Genomic DNA, 20,000 nt, shown 5'->3' on the forward strand with positions numbered 1-20,000 from the left:
GGACTGGTATGAGGCTGAGGAAGAAAAATGTGTACTGCATTCTTTAGATGAAGCAGAAATCGATCAGCAACTTAAAGTCGCAATCTATTCAATCTTTCAACATTGCAAATTAATTCTCATTTGGCTTGATTGTTTGATTGAAATGTAACCTCCGTGTTGGTTCTTAGAAATTCAAAAATATAGAGATTAGAAATTTGGTTGATGAAAACCTACGGGAAAAAAAAGCATGTGGCCTCGGCCTGAAATGTAGAATGGACAAATAAAATGTTTACAGTGCAATATTTTAATTGAATAATCCATAGTAATAGTTGAAATAAAGTGATACATTAGACTATATTTGCTACAACATAAAACTTCATAACAAGATTATGAAAGTGATTTTTATTATTTTGGTAATGGTGTCCCAGTATAAGTAATGAGATACAATTTTTTTTTAATTTGGTATATCAAACAGTAAAGGCTACATATAAATGTTGTTTCCCCAGAATGTACTTTGTCTACAACTATGCACTGTAGCTATTATGCACACACTAAAAGCATTCATGATAAAGTACAAAAATAAGAAAAGATTAAATAAGAAGGTATCCTTGAGTTATAAATGTCTACTAAAGTATACCTTTTAATCACACAGTTGTGTCACAGCTAAAAACACACAAATTAACATATACTGCTATGCAACTATTTGATCTAATATAGATCTACTAGGAAAATATTAAGGCTGTAGTAACACTTCACAGGTAAAGGCTAAGTTCTGGGACATGAAAGCTTTTAGAAAATTCACAAAACAAACCTGAGACATCTTTTTGTTTTGGAAAAAAGCAATTTGCTTATAGAGTCAAAGCTTTGACATACAAATGAAGCATTTAATAAACATTATACTTTATTGCAATAACCTGGAGTAAAACTTCTGACTTTAATGGTTGTCAGCAAATACATTCTCTCTCCGGTAGAAACACAATGAGGGTTTCTGATTAAAGCAGTAATCTGATTACTCCAGCCTCCAAATTCAGTTATTTTCATTCGTTTTTTGTTTTCTTTTCCTTTCTTTAACTAGGTTATAAGCATATTAAATAAGCCAGGTAAACTCCAAGCACCTTACTTTCTTCCATATAAACACAGCTTTCCTTTTGCCGCAAGCATCTGATGACGACTGGGCCTACATACGTAAAAACAGATTATAGCACATCTGGACCTGGTTGACATAATGAGGCATCCAGATTGGTTCATGATTATTTTTGCAGCTACACATTTCTCAATCTAAAAAAATAGGCTACAGCAGCCCAAATTCACTGTCTCAGCCTTGGTGGGGCATAATATTTTGGAATGGCAAGTGCCAAAAAATTTAAATGTACTGGGCAAGCCTGCTTTGTGTAGTTGACTCTAATGCCTTTAAAAATACTGGCATGATTTTTTATATTCAAGAAGTACAGCTATGAAATTTTAAAATAAAATTACATGAAGTTTTTTAATATTCCAAACCACAAAACAGATCTGCTATGTTGTAGACTTTTTTAATAGCCTATTTGAGATTTAACTCTGCTACGCCAAACATCTTTCTTCTAAATGTCCATGCTTTGAATTTTGTGCTCCAAATTAATTAATTCAGAATGAGTGGGAAAATGTTTAACCATCTTTCCTTCTTTTCAGTGTTTCTCTCTTTTCTCTTACCATCCCCCCACCCCACACACACATACACACAACTATCAAAAACTCCCTTTTTTAAAATTTTGGTACAAAGATTCCAAAAAGCTTAATAAAATGTAATAAGCACTTAGCACTTAGGACACTGTAGAACTTTCTTTGGAAGTTTAATTGCAATGAACTTTAAAACTTGAAACTTCAATTCACTTTTCTAAATGTGAATGCATACATTTCATTTGAGCTTTATGCTTTCCCAGCTACCAAAGTAATTGCCATCTTAAAAAACACAACTGACCTCATCTCCACTGTCTTTTCCAAACAGCTTCCAAGACTATCTTCTGATTCTGACTTTCCAAAAAGCAGGCATTAATGTTAACTTTCAAAAAATCATCTAGAAGAGAAACTTGGTCAGTTGTAATGGGAGTTCTGTCCCCAACTCTTGTCACCTCGTAAAAAGAACATCCAGGTAATTCATGGCATTTTCCATTATTCATTGGGCAGACACAGCTTAGATTTCTCTGCCTTCCACAGGAGAATGTTCAGATTTCCACTAACTTCAACTGGAACTCAATAATCAGAATGGCTTTAAAATTTAGTTAAAATTTAAGCATGCCATGAATTTGGAATTTTAATATATTAATTAGGTTATTTTCAAAACAAGATTCTGTATTATAAATAGAATTTCAATAAAGATGTTATAAAAATAAGAACACATCTTAGGATCTAATTTTGAGATTCGCCAAAATTTGAGTGAAGAAAAGAAACCCTGCTTCATTTCCATGTCAAAAATAGGTGGTTGATTTAATCAAGCTCATTTTTAGCACACTTGGTTGCGTTAGTTGTACTTTTCAATTTTCAATATTATACAAGGCATATATTATTCAACCTTTTCCTGAACAAGATAATACTAATATACTGCTTACGGACAGTTAAGTAATATATTTCACACTATTTGGTGACTTTTTTTTTTAACCTATGAGACTTACTGAAATCAGTACATTATGGTCACATAATTTAAAGCTTGGCTGGCTTTTTTTTTTTTCTTTGCTGATAATTCAAATTCTGTACTTTGGCAAGCAAAAGAGGTACAACATCACCTTGGAGTTTTACAATTTAATAATGCATACTTTAAAATTCATGATAACTCATGGAACCCCACTATACTCACTAATTCAACTATTGATTTCTTTTTGAGCAACTGACTTTATGATTTATCCTTAAAAGTAAGGAAGTATACCAGAAGGCAAAAGGATAAATCCACCCATAAATACTAGAGTCTAAGTTATTTTCCTGAAAAGGTGAAAAGGGAATTTCTGGTCTTTATCTTTTCCCTTATCACCTTCAATCACACACTTTACACTGAAATTACTTGTCTCTGTCTCTTCAACAATATACTCTGAAACTTTGTTTAATATACTTTTTGTCTATTTCTGCATATGGGAGACCAATCTTGGATTCCCACCAAAAATGGCCTGGTTACCAAAATACTGCTTCATTCAGTAGTTTGGTGTAAGTGTTTGGGTGTATGTGTCTATATGTGCATTTTAACTCCAAAGAATGCTACCTTCAGAAATAACCAAGATGCAGTATGTATATAATAATTCATTGGGCCCTTTAAGTCTTTGACTCAAAAAAATCTCCCAGAAGCTCCTGCATAGCCCACTACTCATGAAGAACCGCTGGGTATGGAGCACACCTCACCTGATGGACAGTTGATTTATGCTCACCTTAAACGCTAATTGAGAAGCAGCACAAAAGAGGAACTGGAAAAAAACTGAATTTTACTCCTCATCTCCGAAGATGTGAATATTTCTAAAATTTCAGCTTGCCTCTTGCTTCTTATTGGCAAGTTTCCTTGGCTTGTAAATTTTGGACAGCACTATCAAGGAGCTCCATGGACTCTCTGAGAGTGACATTGACTTTAAATGACTTGGGTTTAATGGTTAGACCATAACTGAAATTCATTTTCGCAGGCTCATTTGGGTTGGCCCTGAAATCGCACTGGTGAGCCAGGATGGAGATGAAGAGAAAAAGCTGCATCTTAGAAAGTTCTTCGCCAATGCACCGCCTTTTGCCCACTGAAAAAATCATCACTCTGCTGGTCAGGTCCTTGTTGATGAGGCCATCCTTGTCCAAGAATCGAGCTGGATCAAAGTTCTCCGGGTTAGGCCACTTCAGTGGGTCATGATTCACAGACCACTGGTTGACAAAAACCACAGTGTCCTTGGGAATGTGGTAGCCCAAGACAGAGGTGTTGGCAGTGGTGGCATGAGGAATAGTGACAGGCACAAAGCTGGAGAAGCGCATGGCTTCATAAAGGAAGGCCAGGACATAGGGCAGGTTGGGCTGGTCACCCATACAAGGCAGACGGTCCCTCCCCACGACCTGATCCAATTCTGCCTGCACTCGAGTCTGCACATCAGGATACCTGTTTGGTGTTTAATGTGGAGAGAGAAAAGCAAGTGAGCAAAATTCTTATTTCATCTAGAAAGCACATTATAATTTATTTTAATTCCACTTTTTCTTAAATAGGCTATCTAGCTCAGTGACTAAATTAATATTTCTGGGAAAAAAATCTAAAACAGCTTCCTAATTTCTCACTAAATTACAAGATGGACTTTAAGAATTATATTTCCTGTAATAGGCCTTGCATGACTAATGCTGTCTTTCCCATTATAAGTCAAAAAACTCTTAAGTTTTCCCAGCCTCAAAAAGCACAATAGTAGATAAGGCTGACTTTTCCATTGGGTACCGCAGGGACAGTGCCTAGGGCTCACAACACTTTTTAGGGGCCCATGAAAATATTTTTACGTCTTTTACAATCTTCAGACCTAAAAAAACTCACTTTTAGTTAGAAGAAAATATTTTCATACATCATTTTAATGCATTCATCTTTATATCAGGGTAGTCATGAAATTTAATTTTTAATTTTTTTATAGTATAAGGAATCTACAAAGGCAAAAGCACCCAGGGCCCACGAAAGTTACAATGTGAAAGTAAATTTTTTTTCTCCCTCATTTCCCTGGACAATTCCAACAGACATGCTGTTCTCATTTTATACAAAGATAATTGGTGTCCTGATGGATAAAGCTACATACTGTATTTTTTAAATTTGAAAGCAAATACCCAATGTTCATAAAATTATGGTACAAACTGTAGTACTTATTCACTGTTGATGATACAAACTGATACAATCTTTTTAAAAAACAAAATCTTAATACGAGGCAAGAGACATGAAGGTAACCTCTTCCCGCCTCATTTTAAACCCAGTAATCCATGCCTAGAAATGTATTTTCAGAAAATAATTTAAGAGATACAAAAATATGTAACCACAACAGGACCTAAAATTCTAAAAATTAGCCAGGCATGGTGGTACACGCCTGTAGCCCCAGCTACCTGCCAGACAGCGGCGGGAGAACTGCTTGAGCCCAGGAGTTTGGGACCAGCCTGGGTAAGGTAGTGAGACCCTGTCTCTAAGGTAAGTAAATACATAAAATTAAAATAAAAATTTTAAAAATGCAATCAAGGCCAATGACCAACATTAAAGTTCAATAAATGATTATATATAACTATACATTATCATAGCAAAATACTATATAGCCATCAAAAATTACCAAAATAAATATTAAAAGATTAGAAATGTCCACTACCTTGAGTCAAAGTGTTAGAAGTCAAAAAACAAGTAACTGATTGTTTGCAACTCCGAAAAAAAATGTATACACGTATGTGATGAAGTGGAGTTATTTTTAGAATCGCTTCTTCAACATTATATTGCAGGAGTCTGCCAACTTTTTTCATAGAAACATGTATGGTGGGGAGAGCCAGAGAGTATCTATTTTAGACTTTGTGGACCAAACCCTCTTTGTTGCACTACTCTGCTCTGCCTTGTGTTGTAGAGTGAACGCAGCCATCGACAATGTATAAATGAATGGGCATGACTGCGTCAATAAAACGTATATACAAAAACAGATCGTGTAATTTGCCAAGCCCTGTCATACGTCTTTTCACTAAAAAGGAAAAAAAAAGTATCAGCATATTGAATTGAAAGTGACCTCCAAATTGTTTTATTTCTTTTTGCCGCCTAATTGGAGTACTCGGAGAACTATTGTGGTTCTAATGAAAAACAAAGGCCGTTTCAAAAGTTAAAATGCCTATCTGCGGATGCACAAAAACCTATGGAACCTATTCCGGGATTTCCTTTTCCCTGATCTCTGGTTGACTTTTCTTTATTCGATTTCTGCCTCTCCCTCACCCACCATGGGTGTTTCTATGATTTTAATACTAAAAAGCCATTTTAAGTATACAGAAACTTTTAATTTGTGAAGGTAGCTGTACAGTATCTAAGGAAATATAGATTGCAGTGGATTTTAATAAGGAAAGAGTCATTCTCTGCCTTCCAAACACCTTTCTGTGGCGCCTGCAGATTCAGCATCTCCAACTGCTCACTTGTGCTCCAAGAAATGACACAAAACCAGGATTTCTGGTCTCTTCGGCAATCAAAATTTGCCTTGCGAAACATTTGCCCCTAGGGATAGTGTTTCCACAGTAAATACTACAGGCCGCCCAGTTAAATATGGATTTCAGATCAACAAGGGCTAATCTTTTAGTGTGAGTATTCCCGTGTAAAACTTACTTTTCTTTTGCCAAATCTGGCAACCCGACACCAGGGACCTGTTGAATCCGTGCTTAGTAGAGACCAACGTGGGCATCAGGGGGTCCGCTAACTGAGCCAAGCGCAGGGGCCAGAAACGTCTGCAGGCGCCTCCTGGATATCCCATCTGCCTTTCTGAATGCTACTCTGCTTTCGTAAAAGTGACTGCTTCTTGTCTTCTACCCCGGCATTTCTCAAACTCCTAGCGCGGAGGTTTTATAAACCTAGCGCTGCCCGCTAGTTGTGGCCGCCTTCTGAAAGTTTCTGTGCGGGTTACCTGTCGGCTGGCCCGGCCTCCATGGGCTTCCTTGGCCTGGAACAAAGCCCTGACGGGCGGCCCGCTTTTAGCGCCAGGGCTGGGCGGCCTCGGATGCACGCCGAGGACTAGCCTAGGAGAGGCTGCTGTGTTTAACATATTTATGACATTACCTTTTCTTTCGGAACTATTCCAGTTCTGATTGTAATGCGCCAGGGAGAGAGATATCAGGGCTCATCTCCAAGCATTTAAAAACTCTTGTTTTTCCGGGGGGTGGAGGGGTCTTTGCAAATGTGTTCTCACTCGCAAGCAGGGGAGGGGACGATAGAGACAAGATAGGAGACCGGAGGGGTCGGGGCACCGCTGGGTGGGGCGCGTGCGCGTGTCGCAGCCCTCACTGTGAGTCCCTTTACCGACGCGATCTTGGTTTTGAGGGGTGGGGACCTGGAGCGAAACCCCAAACCCGGGGCCCTGCTTGCAAACTCAGCATATTCTGTCTCTACTCCGCCTTTTTCAGAGGAGAAAAGACCTGGCCCACGCCTCCCAGAGGCTTTACCTGGTGAAGAGGAGGAGCAGCCACTGCAGCGCGGTGGACAGGGTGTCCTGGCTGGCGCCGAAGATGTCAGTGATAGTGGCCGGTACGTTCTCCAAATCCAGCCGCGCGCCACCACCGTGCGAGTCCCCGGCCGCCTTCTTTTCCGCAGAGAGGATAAAGGCGTCCATCATGTCGCGGGGGGCGGCCCCGGGCCGAAGGCTTTCGCAGTGCCTCAAGAACTTGTCCAGGATGAAGTTGCTGAAGTTGCGGTTGAGCTGCTCGAATTCGCGGAAAACGGTGCGCACCGGGTTGGGGAAGTACTGCAGCCAGGGCATCACGTCCACCAGGCTGCCCGCGCCCACCGTGCGCCCGAACTCTTCGTTGTGGCTGAGCAGCTCACGGAACTCGGGGTCGTCGTGGCTGTAGCGGCAGCCGAAACACACGGCACTCATGACGTTGGCCACGGCCACGACGGTCAGCGGCCTCGGGTCGAGGAAGGCGCCGTCCGCGCTGCCGCGCACCAGCAGCGCCACCAGCTCGCGCGCCTCGCTCAGCACGTGGCCCTCGAGGACTTGGCGGCTGCGCGGCTGGCGCGTGAAGAAGTTGCGCATCATGCTGTGGGCTGCGCGCCGCTGCACCTTCCAGTGCTCCGAGTAGTGGCCGAAAGCCATGCTGCGGCCGCCGGACACCACACGGAAGGAGGCGAAGGCCGGCCGGTCGGCGAAGGCCGAGCCCTGCTGCACCAGGGCCTGGTGGATGGCGCGCTCGCCATTCAGCACCACTATGGGGCAGCTGCCCAGGCGGATCTGGAAAACGTCGCCGTAGCGCCGCGCCAGGCGAGCGAACGAGAGGTGAGCCGCCTGGCCCACCGCCGCCGCGTTTCCGATCAGTGGCCACGCAAACGGGCCCGGGGGCGCGGACCGGAGCTGCCGCCTCCGTTGCCTCAGCAGCCGCTGGCCCACATGCACAGTGGCCAGCACCGACAGGAGTAGCAGGAGCGTGGTCTGCTGGATGGACAGCGGGTTTAGCGGCCAAGGGTCGTTCGGGCTGAGGCTGGTGCCCATGCTGGGGACAGAGAGGAGAAGGCGTGACACTCAGGGGTGCAGAGACAGGAGCGGGCGCCCCACGCCCCTACCCCAGCCTCTGGGGACTGAGTGCCGTTGGGTGGAGAGGTCGGAGCTGACTCTCTGGAGAAATGGCCGAAGACGCCCCTTCCCATCCCCAACCCACTCTCCCTTGGAGAAGAGAAGGGGCGTGTTTCCACCTCGCTGTAACCCAGCGCCAAACCCTTCCCCTCCCCGCAAGGCGCGTAACGGTTCCTGCAATCTGGGGACAACGCTGCGGGCATCGAGGCGGTGGCGCTTGATTTCCTTTAAAGTACCTACCACGCCACCCGCTACCTGTAATAATCCATCTGAAGAGGTCGCCGGGCAGCGCCTCGGCAGACAGACTGACCTGCGGGGAGGTGCGGTTTCCAGTGGCGCGGGACAGCCGGCTCCGAGAAGGAACTGGGACCTTTGCCTAGGGCAAGACGTCAACAGGAACCCGCAGGCCCGGCCTGGACACCTGCTGCCCTCACTGGAAGCTTTAACTCCCACTCGAGTCTCTTGGCGTCGTCAGTGCCAGGAGCGCTTGGATTGGGATGGGGACGGAGAAGGGTGCCTCGCTCGCCGAGCCCCGCTGCCCTTGGGGACCTGGCAAAGTCGAGGTTTCCTCACAGCGTTGAGATTGAGACTGGGGGTCGGTGAGTGGCGTCAATTCCCATGCCCTTGCGGCTCTCACAACTGGAGTCGCAGAAGCGCTCGCTCCCACTCCCACTCCAGAGTCAAAGCGCGCCATCCCGCTCCTCCGGGTTTTAAGGACTGGGTAGAAGGAGGGCAGCGCGACCTGGCAGGGCGGGGCCTGCGGGGGGCGGGGCGCGCCGCACACCAGGCCGCTTTGACCCGGACTCCCGTCCAGGCGCACCGGCCGGCCTCGGAGCTCTACCAGCAGGCTTTCATGGGAGCGGAGGTGCCCACGTTTCCATTGTGCGGTAACCGCGCTTCATCACAGCCACCTCCAATCGAGGCCGCACGGTGTCCCCAGAACCACGCTCGGTACAACCTGCCCCGGCCGCTGCGCTCGACTTGGGAGCGCGCCCCGCCCCGAGCGCACGACCTCCCTTCCCTCTCCGCGACTTGAGCTTGCTTCCCGGAAAGCCAGTGTAGTGGCAGCGGTTTGCCTCACAGCGCCCCTGGTTGGTTGTTTAAATTTTATCTTAGGTTCTCGCAAACAAATTGCCACCTCAGTGGAGGCTCTTTGGCATGCTAAATTTTTTCCAGTTCTTGCGGCGAGATCAGGAATCCCTAAAAGTAGCCGCTCCCCCGCCCCGGGGCCCCGACAGTGCTTGGGCACACAAAGGCTCCTGGGGCGCAGCTGGCCCTGAGATTTCCCGCGTAGAGGCCACTCCAGGTGGCGCCGCCCGCTGGTGGGCGCGGGGCCGCCCAGGCTGCGATGGAAGCCGTTGGCGCAGGGCGGGGAGCCAAGCTGGGGCGACTGGGGGGGCCTGGGGGAGCTAGCGGGGCGGGACCCGAGCGGGGCGGAGAGTGGCAGGAGGAGGCGAATCTCCGCGCTCCGGCGAACTTTATCGGGTTGAAGTTTCTGCTGTCGCCTCCCCTTTGCGTGCGGAGCTGGGCTTTGCGTGCGCCGCTTCTGGAAAGTCGGCTCCAGTCATATCCCTGGGCGCTGCCTGCGGCCGCTCCTCCCGCGCTTCTCACGGCACCTGACACGCGGAGGCGGCGGCCGAGGGTGGGGTGCCGGCCACCACCACCCTTGGCGTGGGGTGCCGGCCGCCACCACCCTCGGCTGCGCACGCACAGTCGCGCCTGCCAGGCCAGCGAGGCGGACGCTTGGGCCACCACCCGCAGGCCGAGCCCGGGCGCGTATCGCCACCTCGCTGCGCACCGGCGGCTCTGTGGTCTTCCTGGGCGCGCTTGCGGTCGCGAAGGGGGCCCTCCCTTTATAAGGGAAGCCGGAGGCGCTTGGGCGGGGGTGGCTTCCCCCGCCTGGCGCGCCCTTTCCTACATGCTGATGCATAGGATTTTCAAGACAGCTAAGAGAACAAGGACTTCACGAGGCGGGGGGAAGGGCGAACTCGAGGGAAGAGGTGGGATGTATCTGGTTAACCAGGTAGGAATTGTACTGGCTTCATCAAAGGATAAATATAAAAGTGATAGGTTCACCAGGGACAACCCTGCACTTTGAGCTCCACTCGCGCTGCGAATCTCGTGCTATTATTGACCTGTTTACAGATGAATAAACTAGGGTTCAGAGAGGTTGCGTGACTTAACCCAGGTCGCGCAGCCATCAAGAAGTGGAGCCAGGGCTTGAAGCCACCAAGTCCCACTCCAGATCCTTCACATAAGTTTACACGGAAGAAAATTGCAGATAAGAGGCCCAAATGCCTTCTTTCCTGCCTCCCTTAAAAAAAAAAATGCACGTGGGGCTAGGCGCAGTGGCTCACGCCTGTAATCCCAGCACTTTGGGAGGCTTAAGCGGGCGGATCACTTGAGGTCAGGAGTTCGAGACCAGCCTGGCCAACATGGCGAAACCCCATCTACTAAAAATACAAAAGTTAGCCGGACGTGGTGGTGCACACCTGTAATCCCAGCTACTCGGGGATCAGGGGGGAAGGCAGCAGAATTGGTTGAACGTGGGAGGCAGAGGTTGCAGTGAGCAGAGATTGCACCACTGCACTACAGCCTGGGCAGCAGAGTTTAAGTGAGACTCTGTCTCAAAAAAAAAAAAAAAAAAAAAATCAGCTGGAAGAACTTTTTAATTATTGTTTTTGTTTTCATAATTGAGAATTCTGAGAATAGCAGAGAAGAAATAGTATGCTAACCCTTTGCAATTAAATTGCTTATGAGGGAGGCCAGGGGAGTGTGCCTCATAGCTGACCCTGGAATGACTGATTACATTGTAAAGAAACACAAAGGAGTGTCTGAAAAGAATCTGACTTCTTGAGAGATTGAAACCAGCAATCAATTTGCTGACCTGATAAAGAAATGTCTTTTCGTGATGGCTTTTTTTATTTTTATTTTTATTTATTTATTTTTTTTGAGATGGAGTCTCACTCTGTCACCTGGGCTGCAGTGCAATGGCGTGATCTCGGCTCACTGCAACCTCCGCCTGCCAGGTTCTCCTGGCTCAGCCTCCCAAGTAGCTGGGATTACAGGTGCGCACCACCACACCCGGCTAATTTTTGTATTTTTCTAGTAGAGATGGGGTTTCACCATGCTGGCCAGGCTGGTCTCAAACTCCTGACCTCAGGTGATCCACCAGCCTGGGCCTCCCAAAGTGCTGGGATTACAGGCATGAGCCACCGTGCCCGGCCTGTGATGCCTTTTATTCGGTATCTTTTGAAGAGTTTTCTGGAAATGATTTCACACACCATGATGGGGAACTTAGATAGTGATGGAGTTTTAGTTTTTGAGCAGTTGCATTGGTTTAATAATAAGCGTTGGTTTCCCAGAGGTGAGTTGGCCTACACAGCCTTTGAAATGAGTTTCATAGCAACCTTCCCATGTCCAGCTTTAGCAAGATCCTTGCCTAATAATTCAAGACTCTGGTGCATGCATCAATCTCTCATAGACTTTAATTTAGTAGACGGGAATTATCTATGAGCTAATGCCAATCCTGAGCTGTTGACATTCCTGAAAGCCTTTATCACAATACCTCTGCCAGAATGAGAGCAGATGGAAGTTGCCTTTAAGTAAATTCCTATTTTTAAAAAGTATAAAACGAGGTTGTTCCTAAGACCGCCTGTCCAACTCCTCAATAATGCCATCTAGTTTTTAGATCAACTAGATGCATGCTTTCCTGCCATCGCAGATAGATCAGATATATCCTCCAAGCTGTAGTTCCTTGGGCTCAGCTCTTTTTCTAGGACATGACTCAAAAATCAGAGGAACTAGGTTGGTAAGTGCTGTCAGAAAGATAAGCCCTTATCGGTTATGGCAAACCAAAATGACTGGCTATGGTAACACTTTTTGCAGAGAATCTTCAAGCCTGGAGTTCTTAGGGCTTTATGGTGCAAACTTCATTGAATGCCCCATCCGGTACCCTGATAAGGACTTCGGATAAATCCAGAGCAGCCTGTTGGCACCCCGACCCAACTCAAGGCAGAGCCCTGCCTCTAGTGAGAATCTACGCAGGCTCTTTAATTATCATCACAACTTCTCAACCAAAGCAGGGACCTAAGGCCCAGGAATCTCCTTTCAATCAACACAGAATATGGGCATTCTGCCCTCCCAAATCTCAAACTTGAATTGTTTGTTGCAAATAACTTTCAAAAAGAACAGCTAAGCTAGAGGGATAGTTTAAAGTAGAGAGAGGTTTAAAATATCTTATCTTGTATTGACTCGAAGGAACAACTTAAGCTTGTTTAAGCAGAACAGGAATGCACTGGCCCATGTGCAGAGAAGGATAACCGTGATGCTTCACAGGATACAAGGACCCAGGCCGCTCTACCGGCTCTCTGCCTATGCTGGTCTTTGCTTGGGCTTTCTCTCTTTGCATGGCAAGGAAGCAGCTTAAAATTAACAAAACAAAGAGAAAGAGAACAGCTCTCTTCCAGGGTCCTAGAAGGACTCCAGGGGGCCAGGCTGGCATCAGGTTTTTACCCTGTGGGCAAGGGCTTGTTCTGTCATCAGAAAAAAAGAGATGGCAGAACATGCTAGGAAGCCAAAGAGCTGACCCAGTCCACTCCATGTATACATGTCTGCCCACTGGTTTCTTTGGGTTGGAGGATAACCTAAGGAAACCCAAAGCCATTATTGTTATTATTATTTTAAATCAGCAGATATATGCATTGCCCTTAGAGCCAGTAGCCCAGAAAGCTCTGCCCTTCTGCTGTCAGGCTGGAACTCAGTTTTCTTCATGGTCTTCCTCTCTAGTGTGACCCCTAAGTCAGTTTAATGGGTAGCCACTGTGCTTTTCCAGTCATCTCCAAACACACATACCCACATGCACTGAGGAGAGTGGAGGAGAATAAGCCATCTCTGGTAGGCTCTTGACATTTGGGTGGGCAGGATTCAGTCATCAGGCACATGCTGGTAGGCAAGAGGAGCAGAAATAAGGAGACACACCAAGTGGCTGAGGGTGCGATAGAGGGAGGAACTGTAGGATAATGCACACCAGGGGCTGGACCATGAAAGGAATCTTAGGAATTGATACCAAAACCCTGTGCCTCACCTGAAATGCTCCACTTCCTTCCTCCTGGCAATACACAGGCAGAGAACCACAGAGCTAATAGAAAGGTATTTTATCTAATCTCAGAAGCCATCATTTGTAGGATGCACCCTTATTTTTATGTACTAACATAAAGAAAGGAAGCTACCAATTATAATTGCATCATCGACTCTAAGATACATCCAGATTTCGGAGATGTAAAATGGAAAGTTGAGGGTATGATTTGGAGCTGACAAAGCATTATACATTTCATGCGCGTCCGTGTGAAGAGACCACCAAACAGGCTTTGTGTGAGCAATAAAGCTTTTAATCACCTGGGTGCAGGTGGGCTGAGTCTGAAAAGAAAGTCAGCCAAGGGAGACAGGGGTGGGGCGGTTTTATAGGATTTGGGAAGGTAAAGGAAAAAGGGGGGTTGTTCTCTGGCGGGCAGGAGTGGGGGTCACAAGGTACTCAATGGGGGAGCTTTTGAGCCAGGATGAGCCAGGAGAAGGAATTTCACAAGAAAATGTCATCAGTTAAGGCAGGAACAGGCCATTTTCACTTCTTTTGTGGTGGAATGTCATCAGTTAAGGCAGGAACCGGCGATCTGGATGTGTACGTGCAGGTCACAGGGGATATGATGGCTTTGCTTGGGCTCAGAGGGCTGACATTCCTGTCTTCTTATATTAATAAGAAAAATAAAACTAAATAGTGGTAAAGTTTTGGGACAGCGAAAATTTTTGGGGGTGGTATGGAGAGATAATGGGCGATGTTTCTCAGGGCTGCTTCAGCGGGATTAGGGGCGGTGTGGGAACCTAGAGTGGGAGAGATTAAGCTGAAGGAAGATTTTGTGGTAAGGGGTGATATTGTGGGGTTGTTAGAAGGAACATTTGTCATTTAGAATTATTGGTGATGGCCTGGATACAGTTTTGTATGAATTGAAAAACTAAATGGAATAAGAGAAGGAGAAAAACAGGTATAAAAGGTCTAAGAATTGGGACAACTCAGGACATCTGATTAGAGAGTGCCTAAGGAGATTCAGCACAGTCCTGCCAGCAAAGATTATTTATTTACTTCAAGAGTTAAGAGTGGCAGTTTGGGGATAGCACCAGGAGATATCAGCTGTGATGGCTTGGAGAAACAGCGTAAACCGGCAGTGTAAATAAGAGCAGGGCGTGTATGAGTAGTTGAGAACGGTGAATAGGAGTATGACTAGACAGAAGATAATAGGGATGATAAGTTTTTTTGGGGCACAGTCTAAGTTGGTCTGGTGTCTGGAATGAGACTGGGGCCTAATAAAAAGGAGCGTCTATACAGGAGCTCAAATGGGCTGTACCTTGTAGCATTCTGAGGACAGGTCTGACTTCTGAGAAAGGAAAGTCGTAAAAGTATTGTCCAGTCCTTTTTAAGTTGGTAGCTGAGCTTGGTGAGGTGTGTTTTTAAAAGACCTTTAGTCCGTTCTACTTTTCCTGAAGACGGAGGACCATAAGGGATATAAAGATTTCACTGAATACTAAGAGCCTGAAAAACTGCTTGGCTGATTTGACTAATAAAGGCTGGTCTGTTATCAGACTGTATAGAGGTGGGAAGGCTAAACTGAGGAATTATGTCTGACAGAAGGGAAGAAATGACTGCGGTGGCCTTCTCAGACCCTATAGGAAAGGCCTCTACCTATCCAGTGAAAGTGTCTATTTAGACTAAGAGGTATTTTAGTTTCCTGACTTGGGACATGTTGAGTAAAGCTAATTTGCCAGTCCTGGGTGGGGGCAAATCCTCAAGCTTGATGTGTAGGGAAGGAAGGGGCCTGAATAATCCCTGAGGAGTAGTAGAATAGCAGATGGAACACTGAGAAGTTATTTCCTTGAGGATAGATTTCCATGATAGAAAGGAAATGAGAGGTTCTAAGAGGCGGGCTAGTGGCTTGTACTATAGCATAGCCTGCCTTTGCTGGTGTGTGGCGATTAGGCCTGGTGGAACTGCCATCAATAAATCAAGCGTGATCAGGGTGAGGAACAGGAAAGAAGGAAATATGGGGAAATGGGGTGAATGTCAGGTGGATCAGAGAGATACAGTCATGGGGGTCAGGTGTGGTATCAGGAATAATGTGGGAGGCCGGATTGAAGTCCGGGCCAGGAACAATAGTAATTGTGGGACTTAACAAAGACTGAGTACAGCTGAAGGAGCCGGGGAGCAGAAAGTATATGCGTCAGGTGTGAGGAAGAAAATAGATTTTGGAAGTTATGAGAAATGTAGAGAGTGAGTTGAGCATAGTTTGTGATTTTTAGGGCCTCTAAAAGTATTAGGGCGGCAGCAGCCGCTGCATGGAGACATGAGGGCTAGGCTAAAACAGTAAGGTCAAGTTGTTTGCATAGGAAGGCTACAGGGTGCGGTCCTGGCTCTTGTGTAAGAATTCTGACCGCACTAACCATGCCTAGGAAGGAAAGGCGTTGTTGTTTTGTAAGGGATTGAGGTTTGGGAGATTAATCGGACACGATCAGCAGGGAAAGCACGTGTGTTTTTATGAGAATTATGCTGAGATAGGTAACAGATGAGGATGAAATTTGGGCTTGACTGAAGTAATGGGGGCTGTCTGTGAAGCCTTGCGGCAGTACAGCCCAGGTAATTTGCTGAGCCTAATGGGTGTCAGGGTCAGTCCAAGTGAAAGCAAAGAGAGGCTGGGATGACGGGTTCAAAGGAATAGTAAAGAAAGCATGTTTGAGATCCAAAACAGAATAATGGATTGTGGAGGGAGGTATTGAGGATAGGAGAGTATATGGGTTTGGCACCATGGGGTGGATAGGCAAAACAATTTGGTTGATAAGGCATAGATCCTGAACTAACTTGTAAGGCTTGCTTGGTTTTAGGACAGGTAAAATGGGGGAATGGTAAGGAGAGTTTATAGGCTTTAAAAGGCCATGCTGTAGCAGGCAAGTGATAACAGGCTTTAACCCTTTCAAAGCATGCTGTGGGATGGGATATTGGCATTAATCGGGGTAAAGGTGGTTAGGTTTTAATGAGATGGTAAGGGATGCATGATCGGTCACCAAGGAGGGAGTAGAGGTATCTTATATTTGTGGGTTAAGGTGGGGGAATATAAGAGGAGGACGCAAAGGAGGCTTTGGACTGGGAAGAAGGGCAGCAATGAGATGTAGCTGTAATCCAGGAATAGTCAGGGAAGCAGATAATTTAGTTAAAGTGGCTCGCCCTAATAAGGGAACTGGGCAGGTGTGGATAACTAAAATGAGTGCTTAAAAGAGTATTGTCTAAGTTGCCACCAGAGTTGGGGAGTTTTAAGAGGTTTAGAAGCCTGGCTGTCAATACCCACAACAGTTATGGAGGCAAGGGAAACAGGCCCTTGAAAAGAAGGTAATGTAGAGTGGGTAGCCTCCGTATTGATTAAGAAGGGGACGGACTTACTTTCCACTGTGAGAGTTACGCGAAGCTCGGCGTCTGTGATGGTCTAGGGGGCTTCCAAGGCAGTCGGGCAGCATCAGTCTTCAGCCGCTAAGCCAAGAAGATCTGGGAAGCAGTCAGAGAGCCTTGGGCCAGAGTTCCAGGGGCTCTGGGAGTGGCTGCCAGGTGAGTTGGACAGTCCGATTTCCAGTGGGGTCCCACACAGATGGGACATGGCTTAGGAGGAATCCTGGGCTGCAGGCATTCCTTGGCCTGGTGGCCAGATTTCTAGCACTTGTAGCAAGCTCCTAGGGGAGGAGGTTCTGGAGGAACGCCTGGCCGCTGCGGTTCAGGCGTTTGGAAGTTCTTGTGTGCTGGAGATGTGGCTGGGGTTTGTCTCACAGTGGAGGCAAGGAATTGCAACTTTTTTCTATTATTGTACACCTTGAAGGCGAGGTTAATTAAATCCTGTTGTGGGGTTTGAGTGCCAGATTCTAATTTTTGGAGTTTTATTTAATGTCGGGAGCAGATTGGGTAATAAAATGTATATTGAGAATAAGACGGCCTTTTGACCTTTTAGGGTCTAGGGCTGTAAAGCGTCTCAGGGCTGCTGCCAAAGGAGTCACGAACTGGGCTGGGTTTTTATGTTTGATGAAAACGCTATCTGATTTGGGATAAAGAAAAAGGAGCATTAACCTTGACTGTGCCTTTAGCTCCAGCCACCTTTTTAAGAGTCAATTGCTGGGCAGGTGGGGGAGGGCTAGTCACGAAACGAAACTGTAAGGCAGACCAGGTGTGAGGAGGGGAGGTGATAAAAGGATTATAGGGTGGAGGAGCGGAGGCTGAGGAAGAATTGGGACCTAGCTGGGCCTGGCGAGGAGCAGCCTGGGGAGGTGGGGAGAGGTCAGATGGGTCCGTAGAAAAGGAAGATTAGAAAGCCTCAGCGACGCTTGGGGTTGGGACTGAGGGGACAGGTGGGAGGGAAAGAAGGAAGATTTGGGATGAGTTGCATTGGGAACAGAGACTAGAGAGGGACCGATGTGTAAAAGAATGCCTGGATGTCAGGCACCTCAGACCATTTGCCCATTTTACAACAAGAATTATTTAGATCTTGTAGGATGGAAAAATTGAAAGTGCCGTTTTCCGGCTATTTGGAACTACTGTTGAGTTTGTATTGGGGTCAAGCGGCATTGCAGAAGAAAATAAGATGCTTAGATTTTAATTTAGGTGAGAGTTGAAGAGGTTTTAAGTTTTTGAGGACACAGGCTAAGGGAGAAGAAGGAGGAATGGAGGGTGGAAAGTTGCCCATAGTGAAGGAAGCAAGCTTAGAGAAAAGAGAGAGTAGAGACATGGAGGGAAGGGGTTTGGGGGTTCTTACCTTCCAGAAAAGCGGGAAAGGGGTTGGGGCACGGAGAAGAGGTTGGGGCACGGAAATAAGGGATGGGGGCACAGAGATTAGAGGTTGGGGTGTGGAAATAAGGGATTGGGGCACAGAGATATAAGAGGTTGGGGCGCGGAAATAAGAGATTGGGCGCAGAGATAAGAGGTCGGGGCACGGAAATAAGGGATTGGGGTGCAGAGATACGAGGTTGGGGTACTTGCCCCTCCTCTAGAAAAGCAGGACTTGCCGCTCAGGGTGAAGGAGAAGGGGTTGGGGATTTCTTGCCCCCCAGAAAGGAGGAGAAGGGGTAGAGACACGGAGAGAAGGGGTTGGGGTACTTGCCCCTTCCCCAGAAAAGCAGGACTTGCCGCTAAGGGTGAAGGACCAAGGCAGGCGTCCCTGCATGGTCTGACACCTCTGAAACCTGGGTGAATAATCATTGCAGTCCCTGCAATGATTAAACACCAAGGGAAGGCTGCCTTCCCAGTCCCTGACCGGCGCCGGAGTTTTGGGTCCACGGATAAAACGTGTCTCCTTTGTCTCTACCAGAAAATGAAAGGAATTGAAATTAAGAGAAGGGAGAGATTGAAGAGTGGAAAGGAGAAAGTGGTTGAAGGACAGTGAGAGAGGTTGGAGAAGAGAGTAAGAAGAGGCCGCTTACCCGATTTAAAATTGGTGAGATGTTCCTTGGGCTGGTCGGTCTGAGGACCTGAGGTCGTAGGTGGATCTTTCTCATGGAGCAAAGAACAGGAGGACAGGGGATTGCCCTCCCAAGGGAGGTCCCCCGATCCGACTCATGGCACCAAATTTCATGCATGTCCGTGTGAAGAGACCATCAAACAGGCTTTGTGTGAGCAATAAAGCTTTTAATCACCTGGGTGCAGGCGGGCTGAGTCCAAAAAGAGAGTCAGCCAAGGGAGACAGGTGGGGCCGTTTTATATGATTTGGGTAGGTAAAGGAAAAAGGGGGGTTGTTCTCTGGCAGGCAGGAGTGGGAGTCACAAGGTACTCAGTGGGGGAGCTTTTGAGCCAGGATGAGCCAGGAGAAGGAATTTCACAAGACAATGTCATCAGTTAAGGCAGGAACAGGCCATTTTCACTTCTTTTGTGGTGGAATGTCATCAGTTAAGGCAGGAACCGGCGATCTGGATGTGTGCGTGCAGGTCACAGGGGATATGATGGCTTAGCTTGGGCTCAGGGGCCTAACAATACAGGCTGACAAGGATTCTTTCTTTGTATTAAGCACTTTCTAGATTTCTTGGAGTGGTTAGCACCAAGGGTATTGGCTACCAATCCTCATTTCTATTAATATTATTTCATGTAGACAAATGTAGACAATTGATGTTTTCTCAATCCTATGTAAAGTTGGTGAGAAGGTGATTTAGAAGATTCTGCTATTTTTATTGACCTAAATTAATCTAAGAAAAGATAGTCACTTGCTAAGTAGTTGCAGCTTAAAACAAGTTTCCTACTCCTGCTCCCCTTCCAATCTCGTTGCCCATGAGCTCTGTCTGGTATTAGTGAAAGTGACAGAAATACATGTAGTGAAAGCTACATGTATTCTAGTTCCTCACCAAAATGCATATTTAGAGGTAAAGGGGTGTAATGTCTGCCACTTACCCTCAAATGGCTCAAGGAAAAAATAGAGGGGTTTGGGGAGAAGGAGAGGGAGAGAGAGGAGAATGAGAAAGTAAGTGTGGTCAATGTTAATTGGAGAATCTGGGTAAATGGGAGTTCTTTGTGATTCCTTGAAACTCTTCTGTAATTATATCAAAATTAAAAGTTAAATATAAGAACATAAAAAAAGATCTTCCCAACATTTTGATCTTACATTGCCTTCTTAGCTTCTCTTGAGGGTTTCTTGTAAGCAAGGACAGTGGAAAGAAAGTGGGATTAGTCTGCTGTTCAGGGTCCTGCATCTGATGTGTCACTCCTGG

General features: G+C 46.4%; 1 protein-coding gene across 1 annotated transcript, besides 16 other annotated features; it reads right to left on the reverse strand.

Annotated features, from left to right (window-relative positions):
* On the reverse strand, positions 268-8,910 carry CYP1B1 (cytochrome P450 family 1 subfamily B member 1). The gene is made up of 3 exons (NM_000104.4): positions 8,539-8,910; positions 7,105-8,148; positions 268-4,069 (listed from the first exon to the last, which is right to left on the reverse strand). The coding sequence occupies exons 2-3, from the start codon at positions 8,145-8,147 to the stop codon at positions 3,481-3,483; spliced, it is 1,632 nt and encodes a 543-aa protein (NP_000095.2). The 5' UTR covers position 8,148; positions 8,539-8,910; the 3' UTR covers positions 268-3,480.
* Positions 3,683-3,827: an enhancer, noted in NCBI's record as "145 bp 2:38298139 sequence used in MPRA reporter constructs". NCBI's record gives its function as "activates a minimal TATA-containing promoter with rs1800440 allelic activity by MPRAs in C283T melanocytes {active_cell/tissue: C283T}" and the evidence as "EXISTENCE:reporter gene assay evidence [ECO:0000049][PMID:36423637]".
* Position 3,755: a transcriptional cis regulatory region, noted in NCBI's record as "rs1800440 or 2:38298139 MPRA-significant variant associated with a GWAS melanoma risk locus at 2p22.2". NCBI's record gives its function as "allelic transcriptional activity by MPRAs in C283T melanocytes {active_cell/tissue: C283T}" and the evidence as "EXISTENCE:reporter gene assay evidence [ECO:0000049][PMID:36423637]".
* Positions 8,891-10,266: a promoter, noted in NCBI's record as "-1356/+251 promoter fragment". NCBI's record gives the evidence for it as "EXISTENCE:reporter gene assay evidence [ECO:0000049][PMID:8910454]".
* Positions 8,891-10,599: a biological region, named in NCBI's record as "CYP1B1 promoter". NCBI's record gives its function as "regulatory_interactions: CYP1B1".
* Positions 8,905-8,912: a transcriptional cis regulatory region, noted in NCBI's record as "Inr (initiator sequence)". NCBI's record gives its function as "contributes to promoter activity" and the evidence as "EXISTENCE:site-directed mutagenesis evidence [ECO:0005528][PMID:9334254]".
* Positions 8,906-8,995: a silencer, noted in NCBI's record as "silent region_11368". NCBI's record gives its function as "represses an Ori minimal core promoter by ATAC-STARR-seq in GM12878 lymphoblastoid cells {active_cell/tissue: GM12878}" and the evidence as "EXISTENCE:reporter gene assay evidence [ECO:0000049][PMID:35858748]".
* Positions 8,937-8,942: a TATA box. NCBI's record gives the evidence for it as "COORDINATES:motif similarity evidence [ECO:0000028][PMID:9334254]".
* Positions 8,949-8,978: a protein binding site, noted in NCBI's record as "ERE". NCBI's record gives its function as "mediates promoter activation by E2" and the evidence as "EXISTENCE:protein binding evidence [ECO:0000024][PMID:15126349]".
* Positions 9,728-9,753: a protein binding site, noted in NCBI's record as "XRE2; also known as DRE3". NCBI's record gives its function as "positive regulation of promoter activity" and the evidence as "EXISTENCE:protein binding evidence [ECO:0000024][PMID:12801909]".
* Positions 9,733-9,931: an enhancer, noted in NCBI's record as "-1022/-835 fragment". NCBI's record gives its function as "TCDD-responsive enhancer" and the evidence as "EXISTENCE:reporter gene assay evidence [ECO:0000049][PMID:8910454]".
* Positions 9,748-9,783: a protein binding site, noted in NCBI's record as "XRE3; also known as DRE2". NCBI's record gives its function as "positive regulation of promoter activity" and the evidence as "EXISTENCE:protein binding evidence [ECO:0000024][PMID:12801909]".
* Positions 9,833-9,862: a transcriptional cis regulatory region, noted in NCBI's record as "XRE4; contains DRE1 and E-Box". NCBI's record gives its function as "contributes to promoter activity" and the evidence as "EXISTENCE:site-directed mutagenesis evidence [ECO:0005528][PMID:10702233]".
* Positions 9,906-10,025: a silencer, noted in NCBI's record as "silent region_11369". NCBI's record gives its function as "represses an Ori minimal core promoter by ATAC-STARR-seq in GM12878 lymphoblastoid cells {active_cell/tissue: GM12878}" and the evidence as "EXISTENCE:reporter gene assay evidence [ECO:0000049][PMID:35858748]".
* Positions 9,920-9,949: a protein binding site, noted in NCBI's record as "XRE6". NCBI's record gives the evidence for it as "EXISTENCE:protein binding evidence [ECO:0000024][PMID:12801909]".
* Positions 10,386-10,415: a protein binding site, noted in NCBI's record as "XRE7". NCBI's record gives the evidence for it as "EXISTENCE:protein binding evidence [ECO:0000024][PMID:12801909]".
* Positions 10,570-10,599: a protein binding site, noted in NCBI's record as "XRE8". NCBI's record gives the evidence for it as "EXISTENCE:protein binding evidence [ECO:0000024][PMID:12801909]".

This window comes from Homo sapiens, chromosome 2 (assembly GCF_000001405.40).
Source record: "Homo sapiens chromosome 2, GRCh38.p14 Primary Assembly".
Taxonomy (NCBI): Eukaryota; Metazoa; Chordata; class Mammalia; order Primates; family Hominidae; genus Homo; species Homo sapiens.

What these genes read in the sequence shown, in the direction of transcription:
- CYP1B1 (NM_000104.4), bottom strand. Translation starts at nt 8,147, where the DNA reads ATGGGCACCAGCCTCAGCCCGAACGACCCTTGGCCGCTAAACCCGCTG. An exon ending in CTGCTCCTCCTCTTCACCAG is followed by an intron (nt 4,070 to 7,104) that starts GTAAAGCCTCTG and finishes AACACCAAACAG; the next exon opens with GTATCCTGATGTGCAGACTC.